At 36.0% G+C, this 25,273-nt stretch overlaps 1 protein-coding gene across 59 annotated transcripts in view, besides 2 other annotated features; it reads right to left on the bottom strand.

The window, feature by feature from the left end:
* Nucleotides 1-25,273, bottom strand: part of ADGRL3 (adhesion G protein-coupled receptor L3) — an 878,010-nt gene that overhangs the window by 161,854 nt on the left and 690,883 nt on the right. For 25 of the 59 annotated variants that reach the window (NM_001387552.1, NM_001322402.3, NM_001387522.1 and 22 more), the window contains 4 exons: nucleotides 23,524-23,826; nucleotides 20,648-20,751; nucleotides 6,737-6,922; nucleotides 3,725-3,763 (listed from right to left, as the gene is read on the bottom strand). In NM_001387552.1, the coding sequence (NP_001374481.1) occupies nucleotides 3,725-3,763; nucleotides 6,737-6,922; nucleotides 20,648-20,751; nucleotides 23,524-23,826 (632 nt within the window). The remainder of the gene's footprint in view (nucleotides 1-3,724; nucleotides 3,764-6,736; nucleotides 6,923-20,647; nucleotides 20,752-23,523; nucleotides 23,827-25,273) is intronic. The other 34 variants (NM_001387548.1, NM_001387536.1, NM_001387544.1 and 31 more) reach the window with 3 other exon arrangements.
* Nucleotides 4,535-5,113: an enhancer, noted in NCBI's record as "OCT4-NANOG hESC enhancer chr4:62777087-62777665 (GRCh37/hg19 assembly coordinates)". NCBI's record gives its function as "activates a minimal SCP1, AML or CMV promoter by ChIP-STARR-seq in naive H9 embryonic stem cells {active_cell/tissue: H9 hESC(naive)}" and the evidence as "EXISTENCE:reporter gene assay evidence [ECO:0000049][PMID:30033119]".
* Nucleotides 5,114-5,694: an enhancer, noted in NCBI's record as "OCT4-NANOG hESC enhancer chr4:62776506-62777086 (GRCh37/hg19 assembly coordinates)". NCBI's record gives its function as "activates a minimal SCP1, AML or CMV promoter by ChIP-STARR-seq in naive and primed H9 embryonic stem cells {active_cell/tissue: H9 hESC(naive and primed)}" and the evidence as "EXISTENCE:reporter gene assay evidence [ECO:0000049][PMID:30033119]".

The raw sequence follows: 25,273 nt of genomic DNA, 5'->3' as shown, positions 1-25,273 counted from the left end.
TTTTTTTTTTAAGAGACATGGTTTTCACTATGCTCCCCAGGCTATATTCGAACTCCTGGGCTCAAAAAATCCTTCTACCTTGGCTTCTCAAGTAGCTGGGGCTATGTAGGCCCATGTCATTGTGTCTAAGATATGGAAGTAATATGTTTTACTATGACACATATCAATTTATATCTTGTGATTCTCAACACAAATCTAAAATTACAATTAAAATTAAAATATGTATATTAAACTTAATTTTTTTTGTTGTTAAAACTCTTGGGATGCAAACATAATGGCTTTTAGGAGATTCACATATTATTTAAAATATCACACCAGCCACTTTTAATTGTACAACTACAGGTCAGTTATCATAGTTGACAACTGATAGTTAAAATTTCACTGTGCTTTCATTTGTGTGTGAGATAAACAAAAGGTTAAAAGTCAGAACATACAAAAGATAACTCTGGATAATTCATAAAATAGACACTGAACTTCTAAGTAATTGACATCTAAATGGATTTAGACAGCCAAAATCAACCCTAAAAGATTCATTGCTTGCGCTTATGAAAAGGCTATATTAAAAAAAAAACAATTATGATGACTTAGAAATCATCTTATTTCAAATTTAATGCCTAAAGCACTTCAAGCATATTTCACACCTATTTCGTAGGTAGCTCTGAATGTACTCTGAAAATAGAAATAGGACACATAAAACAAGTCTTTAAAATGCAAATAGACTAAAGTTTAAAGGATTATTCACTCTGGAATTTCATGGAATAATGATCTACATTAAGAGGAAGAGAGGTAGTGCAATGTATTAGCAGAGCATTTCTGATTCACCAATATTCTGTTTGTATTTGGTCTTATAAGATGTTTACTCAATAGCTGAAACATTTATTCATAGTCAGTCAATTATAACCCAGGAAATCAACCACTGAATAAACTGCTATTAATTTTCCACCAGAGATTCATGTTTGAATGACCATGTGTTTCATAGGTTTAAATACCAAAAGACTAATTATCCCAAAGGCCCCATTAAAAGGATAGCATAGATTGCAATCAAAAACAATCCTAACATTGCTCAGCTCAGAAATGATCTTCAGCTTTTGATGGTAAAGGATATTTTGATTTCTCTACCTATTGCATTCACTTAGAGTATAGGTCATATATAGATATATATTGATATATATTTATATATACAGATATATATTGATATATATTTATATATACAGATATATATGTATATGTATATAAACACACCTATATATACCTCCCAAAGCAATTTTTCCCCAAAACCTTAGAAAAATAAACCTGAACAGTTTCTTATACAAAAAGATTCATTATTTTATAAAATAAAATGCAAATTAAAAGTTTATCTTCCTAATCTCTGTTCAATGTTGAAATTCTCCTTTTCCTTTTAAATAATATTTTCACAAAATGCCTTTATTAGCCTTATTCTAATGGCTTCACTTCACATTCAGAATGAAATGCGCAAGAATAAAATAATATTTTTTTCACTCTGGTTTTTAAGTTTCTAATTGCTCATTCTGCAAAACAATGCTGAGATTAAAGTAATAAGAATTGATGAGACTCAGGACATGTGACTCCAAAATACGGCACATTGGCATTTGAGAAAACAGCAAAAGCAGGAAGGTAACTCTCATCTTTACCCTGCCTTTTTCTCCTGATGCAAACCAAACAACTGAGCAAGAATTTTCTAACCTTCCCCTGAATCAGATCATAATATTCTCCTTAGAGAATATTCAATTCTCAATTCTATACTACCCAGAAGGATAGTGGAATGTGAATATTCAGATCATTGGAAAGGCATAAATGAACAAATTGGTTTTTAGCATTTACATCAACCTAACTCACATCTCCCTATACCTGCAAGGAAGGATCCCAAGACACAGAGATGCCCAGAAGAATCTGAACAAATGCCTTGCTAAGTTCCCCCTCCCATGTATTACCATTAGATAATTCCCCCTTTGTCCAGTTGCACTTTCCCATGACTGTCTACTCTTTATCAAACCTACACATAAAAAATACAAGTTTTTCTGTTTCTTGGGGTCATTCCCAAATGCTGCTATCTCACATAAAACTTATATAAAATAAATTTGTATGTTTGTCTCTTGTTAACCTGTCTTTTGTTATAGGGGCCTGAGTCATGAACCTAGCTATAGATCAGGAAAAGAAATCTTTCCTTCCCTACGGAAACCACGCATAATCGTAATAGACACGTTTGGCCAACTACAAATTTAGCTGACTTATAGGGAACATTTGTAATGTGTTCTTGTGTTGCTCAGGAGACTTGGAAGACACCAAATCCAATCAAAGTGATCAGTATACATTTCCAGAACGAGAGTATATCCAAAGAAAGCTGAATCTACTCAACTGCATTTTCATTCCTCTGAAGTGTTAGTGTACTAACATTTATTCATCAATATTTTCTCCTAGATAGTAAAATCCTAGACAGGGACTGTATTATATTTGCCTTGTTCACTAATATTTGTTGAGGATATCAAGATATTCATGTATAGAATTTACAAATGGGATAGCTGCAAGAAAAAGAATTTGCCAGCCAGAATTAAGCAAATGATTATAGCTGGCACACAGAGATATTTCCATTCATTAAAAAGTCTACTGTATTGTGCTTTTCATAATCTGACTAAGTTTGCCCCAAGGCTATCCAATTCCTTTTGCTATGATTTTATGCTCACTAAGTCACTTTCTAATTATAAATCCAGTTCTCAATTCTGTACTACCGAGGATAGCGGATGTGAATATTCAGATCATTGGAAAGGCATAAACAAACAAATCAATTTTTACTATTTATATCAACCTAACTTAAGAGTTTTGGTTAAAAAAAGTAAACACCTTGATATTATGTTCACCTGCAAATTAACTGATAAAGTTTTGTTTTTAAACTGCCAATCTCATACCCATTAATTTGGTTCTTGAGGGTATCTCTTTATAAATGCAGATGGCCTTTTTAAAAATGCTGTGAAATGTATACATGTAGAATAAAGTTTACAGCTAAACATTTTCATATTTCCTCCTGCCTTCTTTGTTTCTTTCCTTCATTTCTTATAAAACAAAACAAAACAAAAAACTAGAGAGCTTGCTTCTAAGGTTGTTCTCTGTCATACAAAATCCATAAACATAGGTATGGTTTATTGCTTATAAATTACAACATGCTTACAAATTAGAACATGTCAGCCGAAACAAAGTACATTTACATTGGGATTACAGTTTTTGCAATAAGTAAGAGAGTAAGATAGTCACAATCGTGCCTTGAACCAATAAACAGCTCTACTAAGGAACAGAAGCATGATATTCCAAGTATCCTGGATTACTTGTTGTCTTATAAGACTGATTTAGTTTCATTTCTGAATGACTTGCTACTCAAATATTGGCTGACCCAATGAAAAAATGAAATGTTTTCAAACCCACCTCTATGAAAAAAATAGGGATTTTATAGATTATACCCAACTCACCTCTTGGTGATGATGAAAAAGTTCACACCTCAAGTTGCACCTCCTTCTCAGTCTGTGTTCCTCTTGTTTGACAGAGCATTGGCACTGCCAATGCTTTCATGCTTTCTGTTCCCACCCTTCTCCCCCTCCATGAAATTCCTTTATTTCAGTAAGGTACATTATCATTTTTCTATCAGGTGTCCATTCATGCCATCACAACAGAGACATTCAACAACTTAACACATTTATAAAAACGCAGAAAGTACCTGGACATAGGCTCTGCAAGAGCGCTCTCTTTTCTGAAGCTGAATCCATTAAGACAGCAGATTAAACACAGAATAGAAAAAACAAGTTAGTGACAGAAGAAAACAAGAAAAATAAAAGAACACATCTACACAAAACACCTTATTTTGTCATTCACTACTTTTCAGAAGAAAATGAAAGCTAAGCAGCAGCAAAATGTAAGCAAGCAATGGCTTAAAAAATAGTAGCCAACATCCTTTCAGAACAACCTAAGTGAAAACTCTATGGTATAAAGTTGTTAATGATAGCAAGAAATCTTTGAATACATTTCGTAGAAATTAGTAAAAATCAATATACTTCATTCGTTTGAAATGATTCATTTCACATTAGGTTAGTTATGAATTTATGGGTGACAAAGACATGAAGTTAAGGAAATTGCATCAGAAGTTTGGAACCCATTTTTCAAAGATAGATTATTTGTGGTTTACAGATAATATAAACGGTTAATGTACACCACAAATCATATGTTCTTCATATATACAAAAACTTCTATTTATCAGGAAAAAAGAAATGCCCATTCATTATGACTCTTTGATTCTAATGGGCACATACTAGAGATAACTAGCTACTGATTGAAAGGATGTGATTTTCTGATTAATCACTGCTTTTATTTCTTGAAGAATTTATTTTGACAGTTTTGACCAAAAAACAAATGATAGAAACTTTGGTGGGTTAAGAAGTATATTTCTGTTTGTTTGTTTGCATAGAGAGTGATGTCTTTCTGGGCAAAAGGATAGCAGCAACTCCTGTTACACACCAAACATTATTTCCTGGTGATAAAATGAATAACTAATAACAGTTCATCCACCATGTTTAAATAAATAAGCCAAATTTTTATAAATTCATTTGTGGGTTTTCCTCTTCTTTCCAATTTTTTTTTTTCCTCAGTAGCCTTGATTGTTGAAGGAGAAAATTACCCAGTTTTAAGAAGCAGTTACCCAGATGCCTTTTGTGTGGCCTATACTCTCCCAATTCTAATTCATGCATTCTTCAATGAGCATAGAGCAGTTACTCCTCTAAAGAATTAAGTAAGGAATGAGTGCAAGTAAATTGCCAGGGCTGTCACTTGGATCACTGACTTGCATCGTGGTTTGCAGGACTCTAAACCCTCCAGAATTTCAATACAGAGCACGATTGATTTGTACTGAGTTGACTTTGCAAATCTGATAGGTTATAACTGCTTCAGGGAAAGTGAGAACCACAGGAAATGAGAGCAAGCCAGCAAGCATGTGAATAACCTTTGCCCTCCCATCTCCTTACCCCATCATGCAAATTAACATATGACAAACCACATTATATAAACAACTGAAAAGAGCCAAATGGGTAACAAAAGAAAAGCATTAAAAAGCTTCACAAATGGAAATTTGCCCATTATTTAGTTATTTGATATTCAGAGTAGGCAAGCTGATTAGCTGTAGCCAGTTAGAATGTGACATTAATTGCCAGCTTTACCTGATATTGTCAGACATCAACACCATTTTTAAATAAAGATACAAAGTATTGCTATAACAAGTCATGTTATGGATATGTAACATTAATAGAAATGACTACATCCGGTACATTATGATAACAATAGCTGGCAGCAATATTCATTAATAGCATCCAGCCAGTCTGGGCAACAACGCATTAAAATCACAGCACGCCCAGATTATATAGGTAGCTGTGGATTATATTCCATCAGGCAACTGGTTGTGATTCTATCAAGGGCATAAGTGACAAAAATAACTCCTTTATGCTCAGAATGAAAAATAATAATAATAATAATTTATATCTAATAATAAAACTTTACCTGTTTTTTACAGATGAAATTGCAGGGGAAAAAAAAAAAACTGTTTGCCAGATAAAATATCTGGCTTTTCTGTGTTGAATAATCATTATTTAGAAAATTTCTTTCCTTTTGATGACTGAAATTCTTACCCTAGTAAGACACAGAAGAACTAACCATATTAAAAGACTACTTTGCAGAGTCATTTTTCATTCTAAAGGAGAATGTTCTTTTAGTGAATTCCATACAGGAATATTAGTCTGGCAATGTCAAATTCTTGTTTTTTAAAGTAGTAAGGCTATCATGATATTCAAGGCCCTAAAATTGTTTCAATCATTGAACATCTCTACTACACAAATGCCAGTCAGGGAACCCATGTCATTTGAAGGTAGCTATGCTAATATGTTTTACCATGGGGTTAATTCACCACCTGATATTTTGTTAAATAAATAAATTATATTATTTATAAATATATGAAATATATTTTATATGTTTATGTAACTAAATGCCTATTTCATTTATGTAAATATAAATGAAAATTCATAAAATGTATTTTCCCTGAAGTTAAAAAATAATTTATTTTACTTACAAATTCAAATTTGCTGGAATATATTTAAGCTTTTAACATTTTAATGTTAGTGATACAAAATCTGAGTGATTTCAAAGTCAAAAGGAAGTAGAAATTAATTTCTTGCCTTATGAGATTTTTTAAAGTTTTATTAATTAGGATAAATTATCTCAGTTTTTAAATCATCTATAATTGATGATAGAGATCCATCCATTCTTCCACAAGAAGATCTATAACATCTTCTTGTTATTATGTTCTAAAGTTTTACTTATTGACTAGACATTTGTTTTATTGTCAATTATCTTAAAATAAAAGTTTGAAAGAAAAAAGAAATTGCATTTATCTACATTAACCCTGTCTGAATTTAGCATAACAGAATAACTGCCATGGAAAACAGAATTATAAATTCAAAATATATATAGAGAGATTATCATTTATCATTTCTTTAGATTAAGAACCACAGTTCTATTATTATAATAACAAAGGAATTGAAAATAACTGTTGATTCTCTTTATAATGATCATATTCTGTAGAAGGAGGAAAATTAAGCAGTGAAGTCTTTCTGATTTTATTACAACTTTAAAGACACACACACACACACACACACACACACACACACACACACATAATTAGGGTCCTTACCTTGTTCAAACTCCGGGCAGCACTATCTTTTCCACCTGGGGTCAAGTTCCGAAGCTGTACATCTAGGAGGCCTACCAGCTGGTCCATGGCCCGGACAGAGTAGGTGATGTCCCCAGCATTCAAGTGATTTCTTGTCTGTTCAGCCAGCTCTCTAGCAATGTTGGCAGCTGTTTCACCAGATTTCAACTATAATTTTTAAATGGAATACAAAGGAAAGAGATCTCACATAAATACTTTTATTGCTTTCTTTCAACGATCATGTTTGCATGTAATTGTAATCATCGATTCAAGAAATAGTTGTTAAACTTCATCTTCATCTGGAATACACTCCCCAATTTTTCCTGCGAATTAATCTTTTTCTTGAAAACTTGACTTTAAACGCATGTCTTCAGAAAGCTCCTCCTGAGGAAACTTACTTTGAAAAATCATGCTTACCTTAATTATCTATTTGGGTCGTTAGGTCTAAGGTTTGCCCTATTATTTTCTCTGTGAGTTTCTAAAGTGGACTTAGTTGCGTGTGTCTTGTAAATCCCCAACCACATTGTAAGTTCTCAGAGGCAAGTGCAAATTTTCCTTTGTGTCTGGTTTAGCACTTAGTTCACAGTGAATACTCATCAGCTACTAAGCTCTGTGAAAATTGACAGAAATAAAATCCAGGCTTTTCAAAGTGATTTTCATCTTCTTACTAACTGTATAAGGAATTTTGCTCCCAGTATGCTGGGTAGCAAACTATTGCTTAGTTTCAAGTATTTTTCTTCTCTGAAACTACATGCTGATTTTTTCAAGTACATTCTACAAGAATATGTCAAATGGTCAACACTCCAAAAATATTAAAACAGATAAAGACCTAATACCTCATCATCACTAGAACAAATTTGATAGCCATGGGTAATTCGAAGTTAGGAATATATATTAATTGGTAAGAAAGTCATGAGAAACAAGAAAGAAGAAACAAGAATAAGTAAATAAGCATAATTTCCCAAGTTATAATCTTCTTTGTTTTAAAATTAATAAACTAAAACAGGATTATAACACATTTACACTAAATAAATAAAAAGTGTACAAAGTAAAAATAATGAACATCTCTATTTCACCTTGCTATATTCTCACTTTCCAGAGACTTTTTTTTTTTTTTTTGAGGCGTTGTTTTGCTCTTGTCGCCCAGGCTGGAGTGCAATGGCATGATCTCGGCTCACTGCAACCTCTGCCTCCTGAGTTCAAGCCTCCCAAGTAGCTGCCTCCTGTCCCAGCCTCCCAAGTAGCTGGGATTACAGGCGCCCGCCACCATGCTCAGCTAATTTTTGTATTTTTAGTAGAGATGGGGTTTCACCATGTTGCCCAGCCTGGTCTTGAACTCCTGACCTTAGGCAATCTACCCGTCTCGGCCTCCCAAAGTGATGGGATTACAGGCATGAGCCACTACGCCCGGCCTTTTTCTTTTCTTTTTTTTTCTTTTGTAAGACAGGGTCTCACTGTCACACAGGCTGAAGAAGTGCAGGGGCACAATCATAGCTCATCACAGTTCACTGTAACCTTGAATTCCTGGGCTCAAGGCATCCTCCCAGCTCATCCTCCAATGTAGCTGGGACTACAGGTGTGCACCCACTATGCCTGGCTAATTTTTTTTTCAGTTTTGTAGAGATGGGGCTCCTGGTCTTACGCTATCCTTCCACTTTGGCCTCCCAAAACACTGAGAGTATAGTTGTTAGCCACCAGGAGTTTGTTAATCATTTGATATGTATCTTTTCAAACTTTAACCTGTCCTACTATCAGAGGCCTTCCAACCACAGTAACTCCATTTTGAGTGAGGGCTAGGAAAATAAGGCCGGGACTTGCTGACCTGCATTCTCAGAAAGTTAGGCATTCCTAGCTTCTAGATATTTATGGTTAAGGGAACAAATTAGTAATGTTTGCTAAACAGACCCAGGCTTGGGAGATATCCCGATATCTAGAGAACAAAGGCATTTCTAATTTTTCTTTAAAGATAATAATATCAATTTTTGCAAAATATAGCAATTAAGAAAATTAATGCTTTATCACAAACCCTTGGAGCACAGCACATCTCCCCAATATCTCTTTTTATCATATATCATATATATATATATCATGTGTATATATATATGTGTATGTATATACATATATCATATATATATCATGTATATATCATATATATACATATACAAGTACTGGGCTGGGCACGGTGGCTCATGCCTGTAATCCCAGCACTTTGGGAGGCTGAGGCGGGTGGGTCACGAGGTCAGGAGTTCGAGGCCAGCTTGGCCAACATGGTGAAACCCTGTCTCTAGTGAAAATACAAACATTAGCTGGGCATGGTGGCGCATGCCTGTAGTCCCAGCTACTTGGGAGACTGAGGTAGGAAAATTGCTTGAACCCAGGAGGTGGAGGTTGCCGTGAGCTGAGATCGCACCACTGCACTCCAGCCTGGGTGACAGAGCAAGAGTGTCTCAAAAACTAACTAACTAAATAAATAAATAGAAAAAATATATACAAGCATTTTACCTAGGGTGGATGCATTCCTCCTCTTACTTTTGGGAACATCCTATACTGTCTATGGAATCAACTTGCTTTTGCTTTGCACTGCGGACTCACCCTAAATTCTTTCTTGGGCAAGATCCAAAAGCCCTCTCTTGGGGTCTGGATCTGAACCCCTTTCCTGTAACACCATTACTATTTAAATATATAACAGTATCATTATGTACAAAATTATTTTCTTCCCCTTTTTAAAGGCAGTCCAACACAGAACATGGGAACATAAAGAGAAAGCTATTCTCTTTGTAAGCTGTTTGACTAATGGGTATTCAGAAAGCTCAAAGGGGCACAACTAAAACTCTTATTTAAATAGGTAGGTTATCGATTATCATGATCTACTTGGGATGCTTAGCATTTATATCAGGATTGAATGTTAAAGAAACAATAAATTAATTAAACTGATTAGAACACCTAAATTATTTACAGTCATATTCTCATGTATGTAGGAAAGCCTAACTCAAAAAGTAAAAAAAAAAAAAAGTTTAATATCATTAAGTGGTGTCAAGGGTTTGTTTCAATGAATATCACCTCCATAAACTACTATTGGTAGTGTATATTTGTATTGCTCCTATTAGAGTAAATTACCATTGTCTATTAAACTTTGACATGTGAAGACTGTGTAACTCAAAGTATCAACCACAAGAAATAATCCCACAGATATACAAAGAGAAATGTTCAAGGATGTTGATTCCAGCTTGTTTATGATAAACAATAAAATGGATTATGACTATATAAAACTCTGCAGGCAGATTCATACCCTGGAATTTTTTTAAATTAATTTTTTAAATTAAGACAGTCAAATTTGGCAGTGTGGGGGTTGTATAGCAAGTACATTGACACTAATGTTAATAAATTTTGATAATCCACTACCATCTGATCAGCCCATACCATGAAATATTATCCAAGTGTAAAATTATGAAGGAGATCAATAATGTTAAGATTAGTCTTCAGGATATATTGTTGAGTTAAAATAAATGCAGATATGAGAGTTATTTACATATATATGCTAATAAATATTTGCATGCTATTGAGAAATACAAACACACTACATAAGTAATTGTAAATATGCTACTTGTGAAAAAGATAATATATACAATATTTTTGTTTATTTATATATGTGAATTTCTATATATTTAAATATATAGAACAAAGCCTAAAAAGAGACTCAAAAGAGAAATCCTTACCTATAATGAAAAGAGAAATCCTTACTTATAATGTTAAAATTTTACATGAAAAATATGTTAAACAATTATTATATAATCAATATTTTCTAGAATTACTTTTTTTTTCTTTTTTTTTTTGAGACAGAGTCTTCCTCTGTCTCTGAGGCTGGAGTGCAGTGGCATGATCTCGACTCACTGCAACCTCTGTCTCCCCAGTTCAAGTGATTCTCATGCCTTGGTCTCCCGAGTAGCTGGGATTAAAGGTGCATGCCACCATGCCCAGCTAATTTTTGCATTTTCAGTAGAGATTAGGTTTTGCCATTTTGGCCAGGCTGGTCTCGAACTCCTGATCTCAAGCCATCTGCCCGCCTCGACCTCCCAAAGTGCTGAGATCATAGGCGTGAACTACTGCACCTGGCCCAACTTTCGAGAAATTCTTAAAATAGAAAATATCAGGACTGAGTATAATAAATTTGTAAAATATGGTCAGGATCTTTATACCTAAAATACCTGTAAGACTAAATGGAATACATTATAGGGTTCAAGGATATGTATGTAACAAACTCAATGTAGATCAAAGTAGCATTTGTGGCCCACTGGTGGGTCATGAATGTACTTTTAAGTGTTCATAAAGTGATATAAATGTGATTAAAATTCATACATTTAAATTTCTGTACATAAATTAGGGCTACTTACTGATAATACAGTAAATCAAGTAACGCATTCTAAAATTCAGTATTCATTAGTTAATTTAGTGAGATGTTGGTATAGTATAAGTATTCAAATTCAATATTCCATCAAGAAGTCTAGATATCTGATACAACTCATACTTTGCAAAACTCCCCCACTGGGCATAGGAATATCTAAGATAGCTGGAATTCCTATAATGTTCCAAAGGGACATTATTTTAATTAATGTGCCATTCATAGTATTCTGCAGGTTATAATTTTTCACCTGTTATACTCTTATAATAATATGTTTGTAGAATTACTATTGTTTTATTTTGTTAATCATGGGTTCTTATGTAATTATTTTGTTGTTATTATTATTAAGTTTCCTTCTCCGTCTTTGTTACCACACAATATTGTTTCTATAAGAAAAAAGTCAGAGTTTGATGGACCTCTGAGGTTTTATGATTCACTTAAATGTACCACGGTGACAAAAGTTTGAGATCTACTAAATTAGGTAATTCATTTCCTTCATTAATATATCTTCAAAACGAAGGATACAAGTATTGACTTTAATTACATCTATCGATGATCATTATGAATAGCAAAATTAGTCATCAAATAGAGAACAAAATGAAATAGTGGTACTGGTATTTTCATATTGTAATTCCATTTCTTTTTTTTTTTCTGTGTAGTTATACAAACATAGTTTTCAATATTAATTATTGTATTATTGGAGTGGGAAACGAAAAGGTGGAAAAGAAGGCCTATGCAATTCTCTTATATAAAAATTTATTGATATCAAAGGGTAGTAAAAAATTAAACATTTTCTTTATGTGCAGTAATGAAAAAGTTGAAATTGTAGATGACCAATAAGTCAAAATGTAATTATTCTCAATACAAAAGATAATAAAGAAGGCCAGGCGAATGGCTCACACCTGTTATCCTAACACTTTGGGAGCCTGAAGTGGGCAGATCACTTGATCTCAGAAGTTCGAGACCAGCCTGGGCAACACAGCGAAACCCCATCTCTACAAAAAATAGCCAGGCAAATTCATCTGCCCATATATGTGTCAACAACAGTGCAGTTTTATAAACCAGAAAGTAAAATAAGAAAATCTCTAATGAATTCTCTTGAAAATAGTAACAGTATTTTGGCATTCAAGAAGTGTTTTTTTTTTTTTTTTAATGAACAATAAACTTAATCCTTCAAAAGAGCCTGGGAACTCAATGTTTAACAACAAAAATGTTGGAAGGAAAAAAACTGAAGTGAAATAGGTTATAAAAATATTTGTAGGCTGGGCATGGTGGCTCACATCTGTAATCCCAGCACTTCGGGAGGCCAGTGCAGGAGGATCACTTGAGCTCAGGAGCTGGAGACCAGCCTGGGCAACATAGGGAAGCCCTATGTCTACAAAATTAAAGAAAAAAAAAATTTCTCAGGGCCCACAGTGGTCCCTGCTACTTGAGGGGTTGAGGTGGGAGAATTGTTTCATCCCGAGAGGTTGAGGTTATAGTGAGACATGGCCATGCCACAGCACTTCAGCCTGGGTGACAGAGTAAGACCTTGTCTTTAATGAATAAATGAATAAATAAATATGTTTATAGTAAAAATATAAAAAGTATCTTTTTAAAGTAAAATAAAAACTGCTATAACAAATTATTTTCTGACCCTCTATTCTTTTTTTTTTTTTTTTTTTTTTTTTTTTTTTTTGCTGTTTCCCAAGCTGGAGTGCAGCAGCAGAATCACAGCTAACTGCAGCCTTGAACTCCTGGCCTCAAGCAGTCCTCCTGTTTCAGCTTCCCAAGTAGCTAGGGCTACAGGCCCTCTCTTTATCTTAAAGTGAATAAATCATAGCAAAAATGTTTCATTCTTTCAATGCTTCTTTGCACACTTGTTATTTCCTGAGGAAATAAAAGATGAATCTTATACAGCTCTTGCCCTCATGGGCTTGGGACGAGGTGCATAAAAGATCATATGAATTCAACAATTCAGCTGTTGTGACAGGAAAGTGTATGACGTATTATGGGAATACAGAACAACTGGAAAGGTGAGGGAGGGCAAGAAGAAGTAACCACCAAGTGAAACCTTGAAAGGTAAGTTGAGGGATACAAGGTACAACGGAATACTAATGGGTGCTATTGAGGGGAAAGAATAAGCCAAGAATATGATACATAAAAAGTAAGGTCTAGAATAAACATGGTTTGAGTAGACATAGTACTAGGTACAACAAGAAGAAAAAACATTTTTTATACCTTCAGAATCCAATATTGCTACCTGCATATCCATGTGTTTGTGTCTAGCTATCTCCATCCGCTTATCTATCCATCTATTATTTCACTGATTGTTCATTCAGCCTACATATTCATTTGTTCTCTGATGAACATTTGAATCTCTACAGTCCTGTGCTAAGGTCAGTGTTGAATAAAATATTTTCTAGTAAGAGGGAGCTTATATACTAGCCATGGAAAGAGTTATTAAAAATTTATCTGTACAAATATATAATTTTAATTTTGTTGAGAGCAATACAGAATCCCAGTGTGGTAGAGTAGACATTTTAACCTGGTGTATGTGATTAGGGAATAATTTAGGAAATGCTTCTCTGAGGAAGAATGTTTCATTTGAGATGGAATAGAAAGAAGAAATTAGATTGGGATGTGGGTAGGGGCCTCTGGGCAGAGGGAACAGCTTTTAGGAGGGAGGGGCATGGAGTCTTAGAGAAACTGCACAAAGGGCACCATATCTGGAGTTTAGGCAGCTGGAGAGGTGAGCAAGGAGAAGAGTAAGTAGTTCTGGTTTAGAAGTCATGATGAAGATTTGGGGAATTACATTAAGAATAATGGGAAGGTCCTGAAGAGCTTAAATAGGATCCGTCTAATTAGGTTTGTATTTGAAGTCAAATTCAGGGGAAAGGATTAGAGGGTTCAGGAGTGAATGAAAGGAGATCTGGGTGATGAGAAATTGCTATGGATTGGGGTAGTGGGCATGGAGAGAAGTGAAAAGCAGTGGCCTGGCCTGAGAGGAATTTACAGTTACACCTGACAGGACTAGTGTCTGACTGGGTGCGGGAGGGGAAGGAAAGGGAGTCACCAAAAGCCATTCTTGGGTTTCTGGTTTTCCTAACTCCACGGTGGTACCATTAACTGATTTCTCCCACAGCTGCTCCCAATTCAGTTTCATGGCCACATTTTCTGTCCAGCTGTAATGGCCCACATCCTCTCCAGTGGCACCCAAAGTGAATATCTTTCTGATCCCCCTGTTTACTTCTCTCACTCCAGTTATTGTAGACTATAATGATCTTATTTCCATATAAAAATATACATATATGTTGAATGTGCCTCAAGTTTTCTGTGCACATAGGCAGGGCTGAAATACATTTATTCCACATCTCATAGCTTAAAGACCTCACTAACTTCTTTTACTAAATTCTACTAAAATTTTTCTCAGAAATAAGCACATACACACTGAGAAATGTTATGAGTTTTGTGAGGATTAGTAAATTAATGCCTATATTGATATGGTGGGATTATATCTAGGACTTGAATCAGGGAGGGAAAACCCAGTAGCTTTAGTTAAAAATAATAATTATGACAGAGACAGATAACATGTTAAGTTTTGATACAAGTCAAAACAATTTTTTAAAATTCAGCATTGAGATTTTATCATATCAACCACTAATCAAGGGCCAAAACAATTTATAAAGGAATTACACATAGCATTGAAGTACATAGCTACCATTTCTTTGAAAGATCTGTCTATTTTACTATAAATCTGAGTCAGGTGGGTATATAAGCAACAAAATGCTTCTATCTTACAATTAAACATAAGTTAAATAAGTCTAAAATTTTGGAATTGCCACCAATCTCTGATAAAATAAAGAAGCAATTTATTTTCATTTCATGCTGGATCTAAGGAAGATAAAATGGGGAATTTAAGATATAGGAGACAGGATTCAACCTAGTTTCTAGGGGAAATAACTGACTCGTTGTCAAACGTTGTAAAATACTGTAAAATGTCAAATGATGTAAAATGGCAACATTATTTCTAGATTTTCACATCCTTCTTTAGAAAGTACAGGAATAACCTCGCGGTATCTGGAAATCTATCAGTAACTTGTATACAAACAGAAACAGAGACACTTTGGTTTGTTAGAAATAGGAAGAGACTATTCTCACCATTACAATATAGACAATTCTTTTTCATGTAATAGTGGAATCATGTAACAGAGTAGGAAGCTGACTTCTCTTTGCATGTAAATAATAAAGAAGCTATACAGAACTATACTATCACCAAAGTTGAAGTGAAAAAAGACGGGTGAAATTATAAACCACAATGCATTCTTTAAAAGTATGCAAAATAGTCTCCTTTTTGAAAAACTGAGTGCAAGCTGGAGATCAAGCTGAGGCAAGAGACTATGATTTTACAGCAGTCATTAAGATAGGTGAGAAATCGGGTATTTTGCCGCATATGTTTCAGGAGGCATGGCTCTGAGTCAACTTGTTGGCTTTCAATAAAAACTGGAAACTTTTTTAAGAACATTAATTTGGAGACATATATCTATCTTCCAATGTATGTAGATATGTATATAGATATGTATCTATTTATGTATCTATCTGTTCATTTATCCTTCTCCCTATTTTTCCATCCATTCATCCATCCATCCACCTACATCCATCAAGACTTCCATCCACCCACCTACTGGTCTTCCTTTTCCTCTCCCTTTCCCTCTCTTTTTTCTCTATCTCATTGCTGGAGTAAAGGTCCCCTTTTGTACAACTTATGCTTTTCTCCTTTCTCTTCTGCACAAATTATGTTTTTTATTAAATCTCATCTTTATGAATGTATTCCAGCTAGTTTATTCGCAACAAATTCCTTTGTGATATTCTAACTTTAACAGCTTACATCTTCTCTAGTGAAAAGTAATCCACTCTTTAGTGTCACACAGAATTTAATCTCTAACTTTACCAGTACATGAGTGACTCAAATTCATTTTTGAGTTGAAACCATCAAGATTCTTTACCTGTTTTCTTCCACTTGGCCTGATTGCTGGGGGAAAAAAAAACATAATTCATGTTTTCAAGAAAATGTAAATGTAAAATTTCTTTTTTGAACTAAAGTCAGCAACTTGGTGCATTTAGTTGAGTATAATTGCTACCTATGCAATCTATAATGGTGGTGACATACAGTGAGCACATACTGATAATAAAATTAATGATCTACTCCATTTTACAGATGGGGAAACGAATCCAGAGGTTAATGATATGTCCACCATAACTCAACTATCAAGATCCTCAAGTCAGTGCTCTTTCCTTCATGTCCTCAGGAGTTCTCCAGGGACACTGTAAAGATGAGAAGGAGGTTGCACGGTCTGAATGTTTGTGTCCTTCCAAAATTCACATGTTAACACTGAATCCTCAATGTGATAGTGTTAAGAGGTGGGGCCGCTGGGAAGGGATTAGATCATGAGGACAGAGCCCTAATGACTGGGATTAGTACCCTTATAAATGAGGCCCCAGAGAGCTGTCCCTTCCACCATGTGAGGATTCAGTGAGAAGGTGCTGCTGATGAACCAGAAAGCAGGCCCTCATCAGAGAAAGGATTTGCCAGCACCCTGATCTTGGACTTTCCAGCCTCCAGAACCATAGTAAATATACTTCTGTTGTTTATAAGCTACCTAGTCTATGGTTGGTTTGTTTGTTTGTTTGTTTTAACCATAAACCATAGCAGTCCAAGTGGACTAAGAAAGAAGTGGTTCACCCTTCAGGGTACATTAATTCACAAAATCCCTGAGAAGAAGAAAACTACTATTTCAAATATATACTTTTTTTTTGCATGTGTATATTGTGGTTTTTTTTCACCTGTGTTTCCATTGGGGGTAAAAAGTGTTCCTTTGCTTTACAAGTTTGAAATTCACAAAACTATACTGGCAGCAGGGGGAGGGTAAAGGGGAGAATGAAACATTAAAGATATCTATTTGACTTCAATTTTTCAACATGGCAAATGGCAGGAAAAAAATCAGTTGCAGAAATGGAAAGAGGTAGGAGATCAGAGCAGAAGGGTGTGAGAAAAAGGAAATCAAAGAGGGAGGAGAGGGGAGGTGAAGGGCAAAGGAAAGAGAAGGAGATGGTGATATAGGAATTAAAAAGAAATTATTTAGGCAGATAGTGAGGCAAGAAAGTCCTCAGTAAGGTTTTCCTGTTAATGAAAAGCAGCCCCCAAATCATTTCTTTTCTAACAAAGAGCAGCCTGTAAAATGGAGCTGCAGAGGTAGAAAGGCAAGCTAGAAGCTTGCACAGGTGAATGGTGGCAGCTGTGCCAACAGGAGAAGGCTACCTGGGAGTAGGCATCAAAATGGCAGCTCCTTCCCTTTCCCAGCCATGTGTACAGTAAGGAGCAGGCAACGTGGCCTGCCAAGTGGAAAGCCTATTTGCATAATAAGATTAGGGTGGTGGGGCATGGTGGCTCACTCCTGTAATCCTAGCACTTTGGGAGGCTATGACAGGCAGATTGCCTGAGCTCAGGAGTTTGAGACCCGCCTGGGCAACATGGTGAAACCTCATCTCTACTAAAATACAAAAAATTCGCCAAGTGTTGCAGTGTGTGCCTGTAGTCCCAGCTTCAGGAAGCTGAGGCAAGAGAATTGCTTGAACCTGGGAGTTGGAGGTTGCAGTGAGCCAAGATTGTGCCAGTGCACTCCAGCCTGGGTGACAGAGCGAGACTTCATCTCAAAAAAAAAAAAAAGATTAGGGTGAGATTTCTAGCCTTCCAGTCTTCCCGGCAGGCTGTGTAAACATCACACCTGGTCCAGCCAATCTTGGGCCTTACATAAATCAGACACCATCTCCTCAAGCCTGCCTATAAAATCTGGTGCACTACCACTCTGGGCCAGAATTCCCATTCTAGAGCCCCTCTCTCTCTCACAAGAGAGAGAGTTGTTCTCCTTTCTCTTCTTTTGCCTGTTAAAACTCTGCTCCTAAACTCACTCCTTGTGTGTGTCTGTGTCCTTAATCTTCTTGGCTCTAGATGATGAGCCATGGGTATTTACCTTAGACAACAATGCTGATTCAATGGGAAAAAGAAGAAGGGTGAGAGAAGGGAGTGGAGAAAAGCCAAGGACTATGTTGGGTACCTCCCATTTGCTAGTTCAGGGCTACTCTCTACCCTCCTCCATCCTGCCTTCTGCCCTACGTGGTGGACTTACATGATAGTCACTAAGTGTGTCCTTCTTTGGCTTCTGGTTGGGTTTGGCCAGTGGGGTCGCTTGACAGGTAAATGGAGGGTGGAGGGTAAGTAAGGTCAGGGTATTCATTCTCCTGGATTCCTTTCTGAAAGGCCACCTGGGGCTAAGCTGTGTCCCTTGCCTTAAGATCATCTTTCTTCCCAAGGACAAATTGCTCCTTATTTTTGGTCACTCCTTTGATCTGGTACCCTACAGGCCTGGGGTTGGGAACAGCTCCTTCCCTGCTACAAGCTCTGGGTTTCTGCTCAATCCCTTGCAGTTTGCCTTTACTGCCCCAATACCATTGTAAACAAAACCTCCTCAAGTGTTCCATCTGTGTGGACTCTGGTACTACACAGGTATTACAATGAGAGGAAGGAGATGAGAAAAGGGATGAATTCTATGAAAGACAGCTGGGGAGGTGGGGGATAAAATATAGACAAACAATCCTGTGAACACTACAACAGATTCTTGAAGTTTTCAATACTAATATTTAAAAGTGTTAGAGTTTTGTGGTAAAGAAACCTGCTCAACTATCATTTATAGTCAATGAGTAGCATAAATATTTGGAGGCATAAGGGACACAACCAAGTAAAAGAGTAGGCAGAGTGCAGAGGGACAGCATAGGTAACTGAGTGTAAGGCTGTGAAGCCAATCATAAGCTATCCATGGTTTAACCAGTGTTGTGGTTAAGTATGATGTCTTGATGAAGGTAATCTCAACTAAAATATTAGCTCCACCACTGACCTTGGACAAGTTACATAAGCTGATTCAGAATGCTCAAAAGCCTCTTGTTACACTTTTTAAGATTTTATAAATTTTTGAGTAATCAATCTAAGGTTTTTTTAATAAGTTCCAATCAACTAAGTTCTTTAAGTTTAAATATAATGATCACATAACATAGTTTTACAGACTCTACAGGATGAAACAAAATGCACTGGAAGAATAGGAGGTATTTTTTTACAAAACAAAAACATCCTGTCCATAAATCAGATGGACAACAGCTGTCTGGTCTTTGAAAGGAATTATCTTTTGTCCTAAGATTAGCTGGGCTGCAGAGAAAAGAAAAGAATTAAGCATCATTATCAGTTAAAGTCACCTAGTAATTTCTACAATAAAATGGTCCAACTATATTCAGAAATTATCGTGAAAACATTCAGCCTTTTCTAGAAGAATTATTATTGAATTTATATTCACCCCTGGGCTAAGTATCTAGGGACTGTTTTTAAAGAATTGCTAATGTAGGGAGATATGCTACTGATCTCTTAATCTGATCACATCCAGCAAGAGTTATTTGCCCAGGGGTCTGAGCTACATTGTAATAAAATCAAAGGACATAAAAACTGTGGCAGGAACAGTGCTGAAACTGGAGAAGCATCATTATGAATAGCAACAAGTACGGAGATGCATATGTAAGAGGGTAACTAGAGTCAATATAACCACTATTCTTCCATGATTTAGGGTAAATAGATAGTTATGGCTCATCTGCTAAATGATCTACTGGGTAGATATTTATGGATTATTATACAGTATATTATTGAGGATAAGTCTGGTTAAAAACAAATAGAGAAAAGAGCAAATGGCACAGGCAGGCTTTTAGTAAGGCCATCATTTGTAATATTTCTCGGGAAAATCTCTCTCAGAAATTCCTCAGCATAGCTAATGTGCCATAGAAGGACTCTCCATTTTAGGAGTGCATAAATCCACATAAATTGCTATAATAAGGATTCATCCCATAACCCTTTTGGCATAAATGCACATCTGGTCTCTGTTTGTAATGAAATCAATTCAAAGCCCCACAGTGCATTAATAATAAAAATGTTCAACATATTGCAACCAAATAAGCCCTGAAAATTTGAGTCTGCAAGATTCTGTCACACATGTGTATATTTTTATCATTGATAAATGATTAGGTTACAGAACATTTATCAGATGGCTTAAGATTCCAAAGGTAGACTTTGAAAAATTATAATTATTTCCACAAGAAAACTCGTAAGTATACATGCTAGAAACTTTTACTTGCTTAATGTATAATGCCTCTTGGACTTTTATAGCTGTAGTGCACAATACCAGAGAAATTTTATTAATAATAAAATTATTATAAGCAATATAAGAAGAAATTCATGGATTTGCACTTTAAAAACAACAAAATTCTAGAATTAGCTCATAACATATTAGAGGTTGTCATTAAATGTGAAATTTTCTACATTGATTTTAAAAGAATTCTTGACTGTTTTTTTTCCAACAGCTATCATCAACAACAGATGATATAGTTTTAGCAAAGACTTTCTTGTCAGTCACAAGATTTACCTTCTGTGTTATATGATTGACCCAAGGAGAAGAACAGTTGCTGAGATCTGGACCTTGGGGATCCCAAATTCCATCAGGAGCAAGGCATAGATAAGTTGATACACCTGTAATAATGAGAGAAATGTATCTGTTTCTTTTTCTTAGAATGACTTCACATCCATGGTATATTTTAAAATAAGCAAAGGTAAAAATGAGATAATTAAATTGATATAATGTTTATTAAAACACCAGATACAGTGCCAGTAAGCATTTAGCACTAGAGAAATGTAGTACTCCAAACAAAAACATACAATATGTTTGAAGCATTTGTGGCAGCCACATTAGGTATGGGGACTATTATTATTATTATTATTATTATTATTATTATTTGAGATGGAGTCTTGTTCTGTTGCCCAGACTGGAGTGCAGTGGCAAGATCTCGGCTCACCGCAACCTCTGCCTCCCGGGTTCAAGTGATTCTCCTGCCTCAGCCTCCCAAGTAGCTGGGACTACAGGCATCCCCCACCACACCCGGCTAATTTGTGTATTTTTAGTAGAGGCAGGGTTTCACCATATTGGCCAGGCTGGTCTCAAACTCCTGACCTCGTGATCTGCCCGCCTTGGCCTCGCAAAGTGCTGGGATTACAGGCGTGAGCCACCGTGTCCAGCCGAGGACTGTTTTTAAAGAATTTCATGGATGAGATGATGTGATATGTGCCTCCATGGAGGTTAGTGCTTGACTTTGTAGAGGCAAGGTAGCAGTTGAGTCTTAAAATAAGTGTGCAGGTTTTTCAGAAAAAAAACAAGGTGGAAAAGGATATTCCAGGTGGAAAAATATATGTTCTTTGGGAAACTTCAAGTTTTTTTGAACTGGGGTCTACTGGACTGGGGAGTTGTATTTAATGAAAGTAGAAAAGTAAACCAGATCATAAACTCCCTTGTCTATCATTTGTGGGTGCCGGAAAATCAATGAGAATATTAAAAGAGGAGATAGATGATGAGCAAATTTGAGTTTTGGAATGATATCTCTGGCAGAAACATGGAAGATGAATTTCAGAGAGTAATGGCGTGATGGTGAGGAAGCTATTGCAATAATTCAAGTGAGAGACTGTGGGGGCCTAGACAAAGGCATAACAGAATGGACACAGATGGGTAAAAATGAGACTGGGGTGTATTGACAGTAATCCCTGAGGGCTTCAGAAAATATCTTTTCCAATTGTCACTGAAAAATAATGACACATTTCTGTAGAGCAAAGTGCTTTCAAATAAAGTGTTTCACTAATCTTCAAAACAAAGGTCTGCAGTAAGGGGCTATTATTATTTTTCTTTTAGAAGTAAAGGAACTGAGACCACAACCAAGAAAACAGAGCTAAGAAAAAAGATGGTTTCCAACTGTTCTCTGATTCCAGGATCACAGGATTCTCCCTCTTTTTCCTAAATAAAATGAGTATTTTTGAATATTTTAAAATATTTTGCTGGAAAAAAGTGTATTTTTTATAAAAACCAAGATACCCTTTGGTCTTCCCACCCACCATTTCCTATACCATGGAATATGAAATGATATACCCATATCAGAACTTTCTAAGAAAAACTTTTTTCCTTAAAGTATCCAAATCAATAATACCCAAGGAGAAAGTCCCTGAGAATGCTGGATGACAGACGTTGTGAATTTCTCTTATTTACATATTTTAGAGAATAATGCAAATGTGCCAAGTATTCATTTATGAATACCAATGTACGTAACAATAAGAAAATCAGAATACCTTTGCTTAAGCAAAATAAATAATAATATGGTTAACAGGTGAAGATATTATGAATGATATCAGTAATAAAATAGGCAAAGAAGGCCAGGCGCAGTGGCTTATGCCTGTACTCCCAGAACTTTGGGAGGCTGAGGCGGGCTGATCATCTGAGGTCAGGAGTTTGAGACTAGCCTGGACAACATGGCGAAACCTGTCTCCACTAAAAATACAAAAAAGAATTAGCCGGGCATGGTGGTGGGCGCCTGTAATCCCAGCTACTCAGGAGGCTGAGGCAGGAGAATCACTTGAACCCTGGAGGCGGAGGGTAAGCCGAGATCATGCTGCTGCACTCCAGCCTGGGCGACAGAGTGAGACTCCGTCTCAAAAAAAAAAAAAAAAAAAAAGGCAAAGAAATATTGAGTTCTTATCTATCCCCTAGAGGAAACAATGCAGGATTGTTCTCTGGTGGATGCATGAGTGAGTGCCAGGTTGACTCCTGCAGCATGGTCCCTGACAGTGTTAAGAGCCTTTGACCATCAGAGGACAACTACAATGGCTGATGAAAAGGAGAGTCAAACTTTCTTTTTTGTTACATATTAGGTCATTTCCATGATAATCTTCTAATATAGAAGTCCTCAACCTCATTTTCTGCAATCAATATCTGATGGTTGGTGACAAGCATGAGTCTAACTCCCAGCAATCAAGTGATCCCCTCTGGACTGCTGTATAGAAAAGCTGAGCCTCTAGAGTAGCCAGTACATCTACAGCCTAACTTTACCTTGACCCAGAGACCTGAAACTATGAGGGCAAAGTGCAGGTCTCACAGGTTACCTGTGACTTAATCAGGTTACATTTTCAAACTCTGGAAAATAGATAGCTTTAAATTGTAATTTAGCTGAGTTCAGAATTTAGTCAAATGTGAAGTAATAAAATATGTTGTAATGAAAAAAAAGAAAGAGGAAAGAAAGAAAGAAGAAAGAAAGAGAGAAAGAGAGAAAGAAAGAAGGAAGGAAGGAAGGAGAAAGAAAGAGACAAGGAGGGAGGGAGGGAGGAAGGGAGGGAGGGAGGAAAGGAGGAAGGAAAAGGAAAAGAATACTAGAAAATAAAGCCAAAGCAACACAACAGTTTTAACTTAGTGCTTTAGCACAGACTTACCTATAGTTCCTGCAGGGCATGGCTGCTTTGCTATCTGTCCTTGACGAGTCTTAAACCACATGATTTCTCGGGCTTCCACAGCCTCACAGCTCTCTTCGAGAGCTGGGATTTGGGACGATGCTGATGGAAGGTGTGTGGTCATGTCATCAAGTACCTCGACAGCTGGAGATGGGGTACTAGTACTCCGGTTTCTTCTTCCTGACACTGACGGGGTGGTACTCCTTCCTGGGCTCAAAGTTGTGGTCCGAAGGGTGGTACTGGTGGTAGTGCTTCCCATGCCAAGAGGTCCTGTGGTAGAGATATCTGAAATAAAATTAGAAAGAAAACACCTACATTGCTTGTTCACAGGAGGACCTCAAGATGTCCTAGTACTTTAGAAATTGTTTTTATTTGACAGTTCAAAGAGCTTTAAAGCTCTAGAAGTCTTCAACCTGATTTTCATTTTAAACATGGCAAAAATAAGCCAATACCAAGGTATCAGGATGCCACTTGAGTATCAAAACAACCATCTGACCACTGCCAAACACAAGCTTTTTAAGGGTTCTTCGAAACTCAAATCCCAGAAACAAAATTACAGCACAACTCAACTCTTCAGTAAGCTTCCTAATGCTCTCAGCCTTTTTGACAATTAGATGATTAAAACTTTAAGCCCTCTCCTTAGAATTATCAAACTTTGTATAGAAGGGAGAACTATATATAAAATTTTATTTTCACATGAAGTGTAATATGGATTTCTAAATATGCAGCAAATAGGTGAGAGGACAAAAAAAAAAAAAGGAAACAGAAATTAAACTGCTGACAAGCTAAAAAATAAAGAGCAATCCTGAATATAGTCTCCTTAAACACAAACTGGAGTAGCTTAGTGATCTACTTTATTGCTCTTAGAACTGACTCACCTTCACACAATTTTCAAATTTGATTTTCATTAATGTAAAGTATAAGTAGTTTCCAAATAGTTACAACCCTAAATTATCCTCTAACAAGATTGTTTGAATGGGAAAATGTATTCCAAGTTCCAAATAAAATAGTTAGGTTCTTTGTTAGGTAATTGAACCTATGTTTCCAAGGAATAGGCATACTATGGAATTAACCACTGCAAAGAATCATCTTTCTCGGAAAATATATTCATATTCTCATCATGGAAATGCAAGAGTATGCTTGTCCTTCCTGTACACAGACTGCATACCTAGCTGTAAGATTAGAAACTACTCTTAACCTCACTTACTGGCAATAAACTGTAGGGATATTGGCTCTAGTCTGATTCAAGATCACTCATGTTTAAGGAGATGTAGGGCATTCTGATATGAGTCTCTAGCTGTTTGTAATTCATTTTCTACTTCCCTTAAAATATCATCATCTCCGCTGCCCCGAGGAGGTCCCCAGGTTCATTCACAATGTATTTGGTGTATATAAAGCTTCCAAAGAAACAGGAGAGACATGGTGAAGGGATGGGATATTTTTGAATATTTCATCACTGAAATTGTAGTATTTTTTGAAGTGATGCTGTCTATTATGTGTCTTTTGCCTCTTTCTTCTATTTTCCCTCCCTCTCTTCTCAACTTTCCTTCTCTTTCTCTCATGGTCCCTTTCCATATGAATGGTAATGTTCAGAATTGCATCTACTCAAATTTCATACAAGAAGGCAGAGTGTCTTATTTTCCCTCCTTCTTCCACATATACTATATCTCCCAAATAACCAAGTCTTTTTGATTCTGTCTCATGCCTCTATTTGAAATCCATCTATTTTTTT

The sequence above is a fragment of the Homo sapiens genome, chromosome 4 (genome assembly GCF_000001405.40).
Source record: "Homo sapiens chromosome 4, GRCh38.p14 Primary Assembly".
Taxonomy (NCBI): domain Eukaryota; kingdom Metazoa; phylum Chordata; class Mammalia; order Primates; family Hominidae; genus Homo; species Homo sapiens.
The sequence above is the reverse complement of the archived record's forward strand: the minus strand, read 5'-3'. Positions and strand labels throughout refer to the sequence as shown.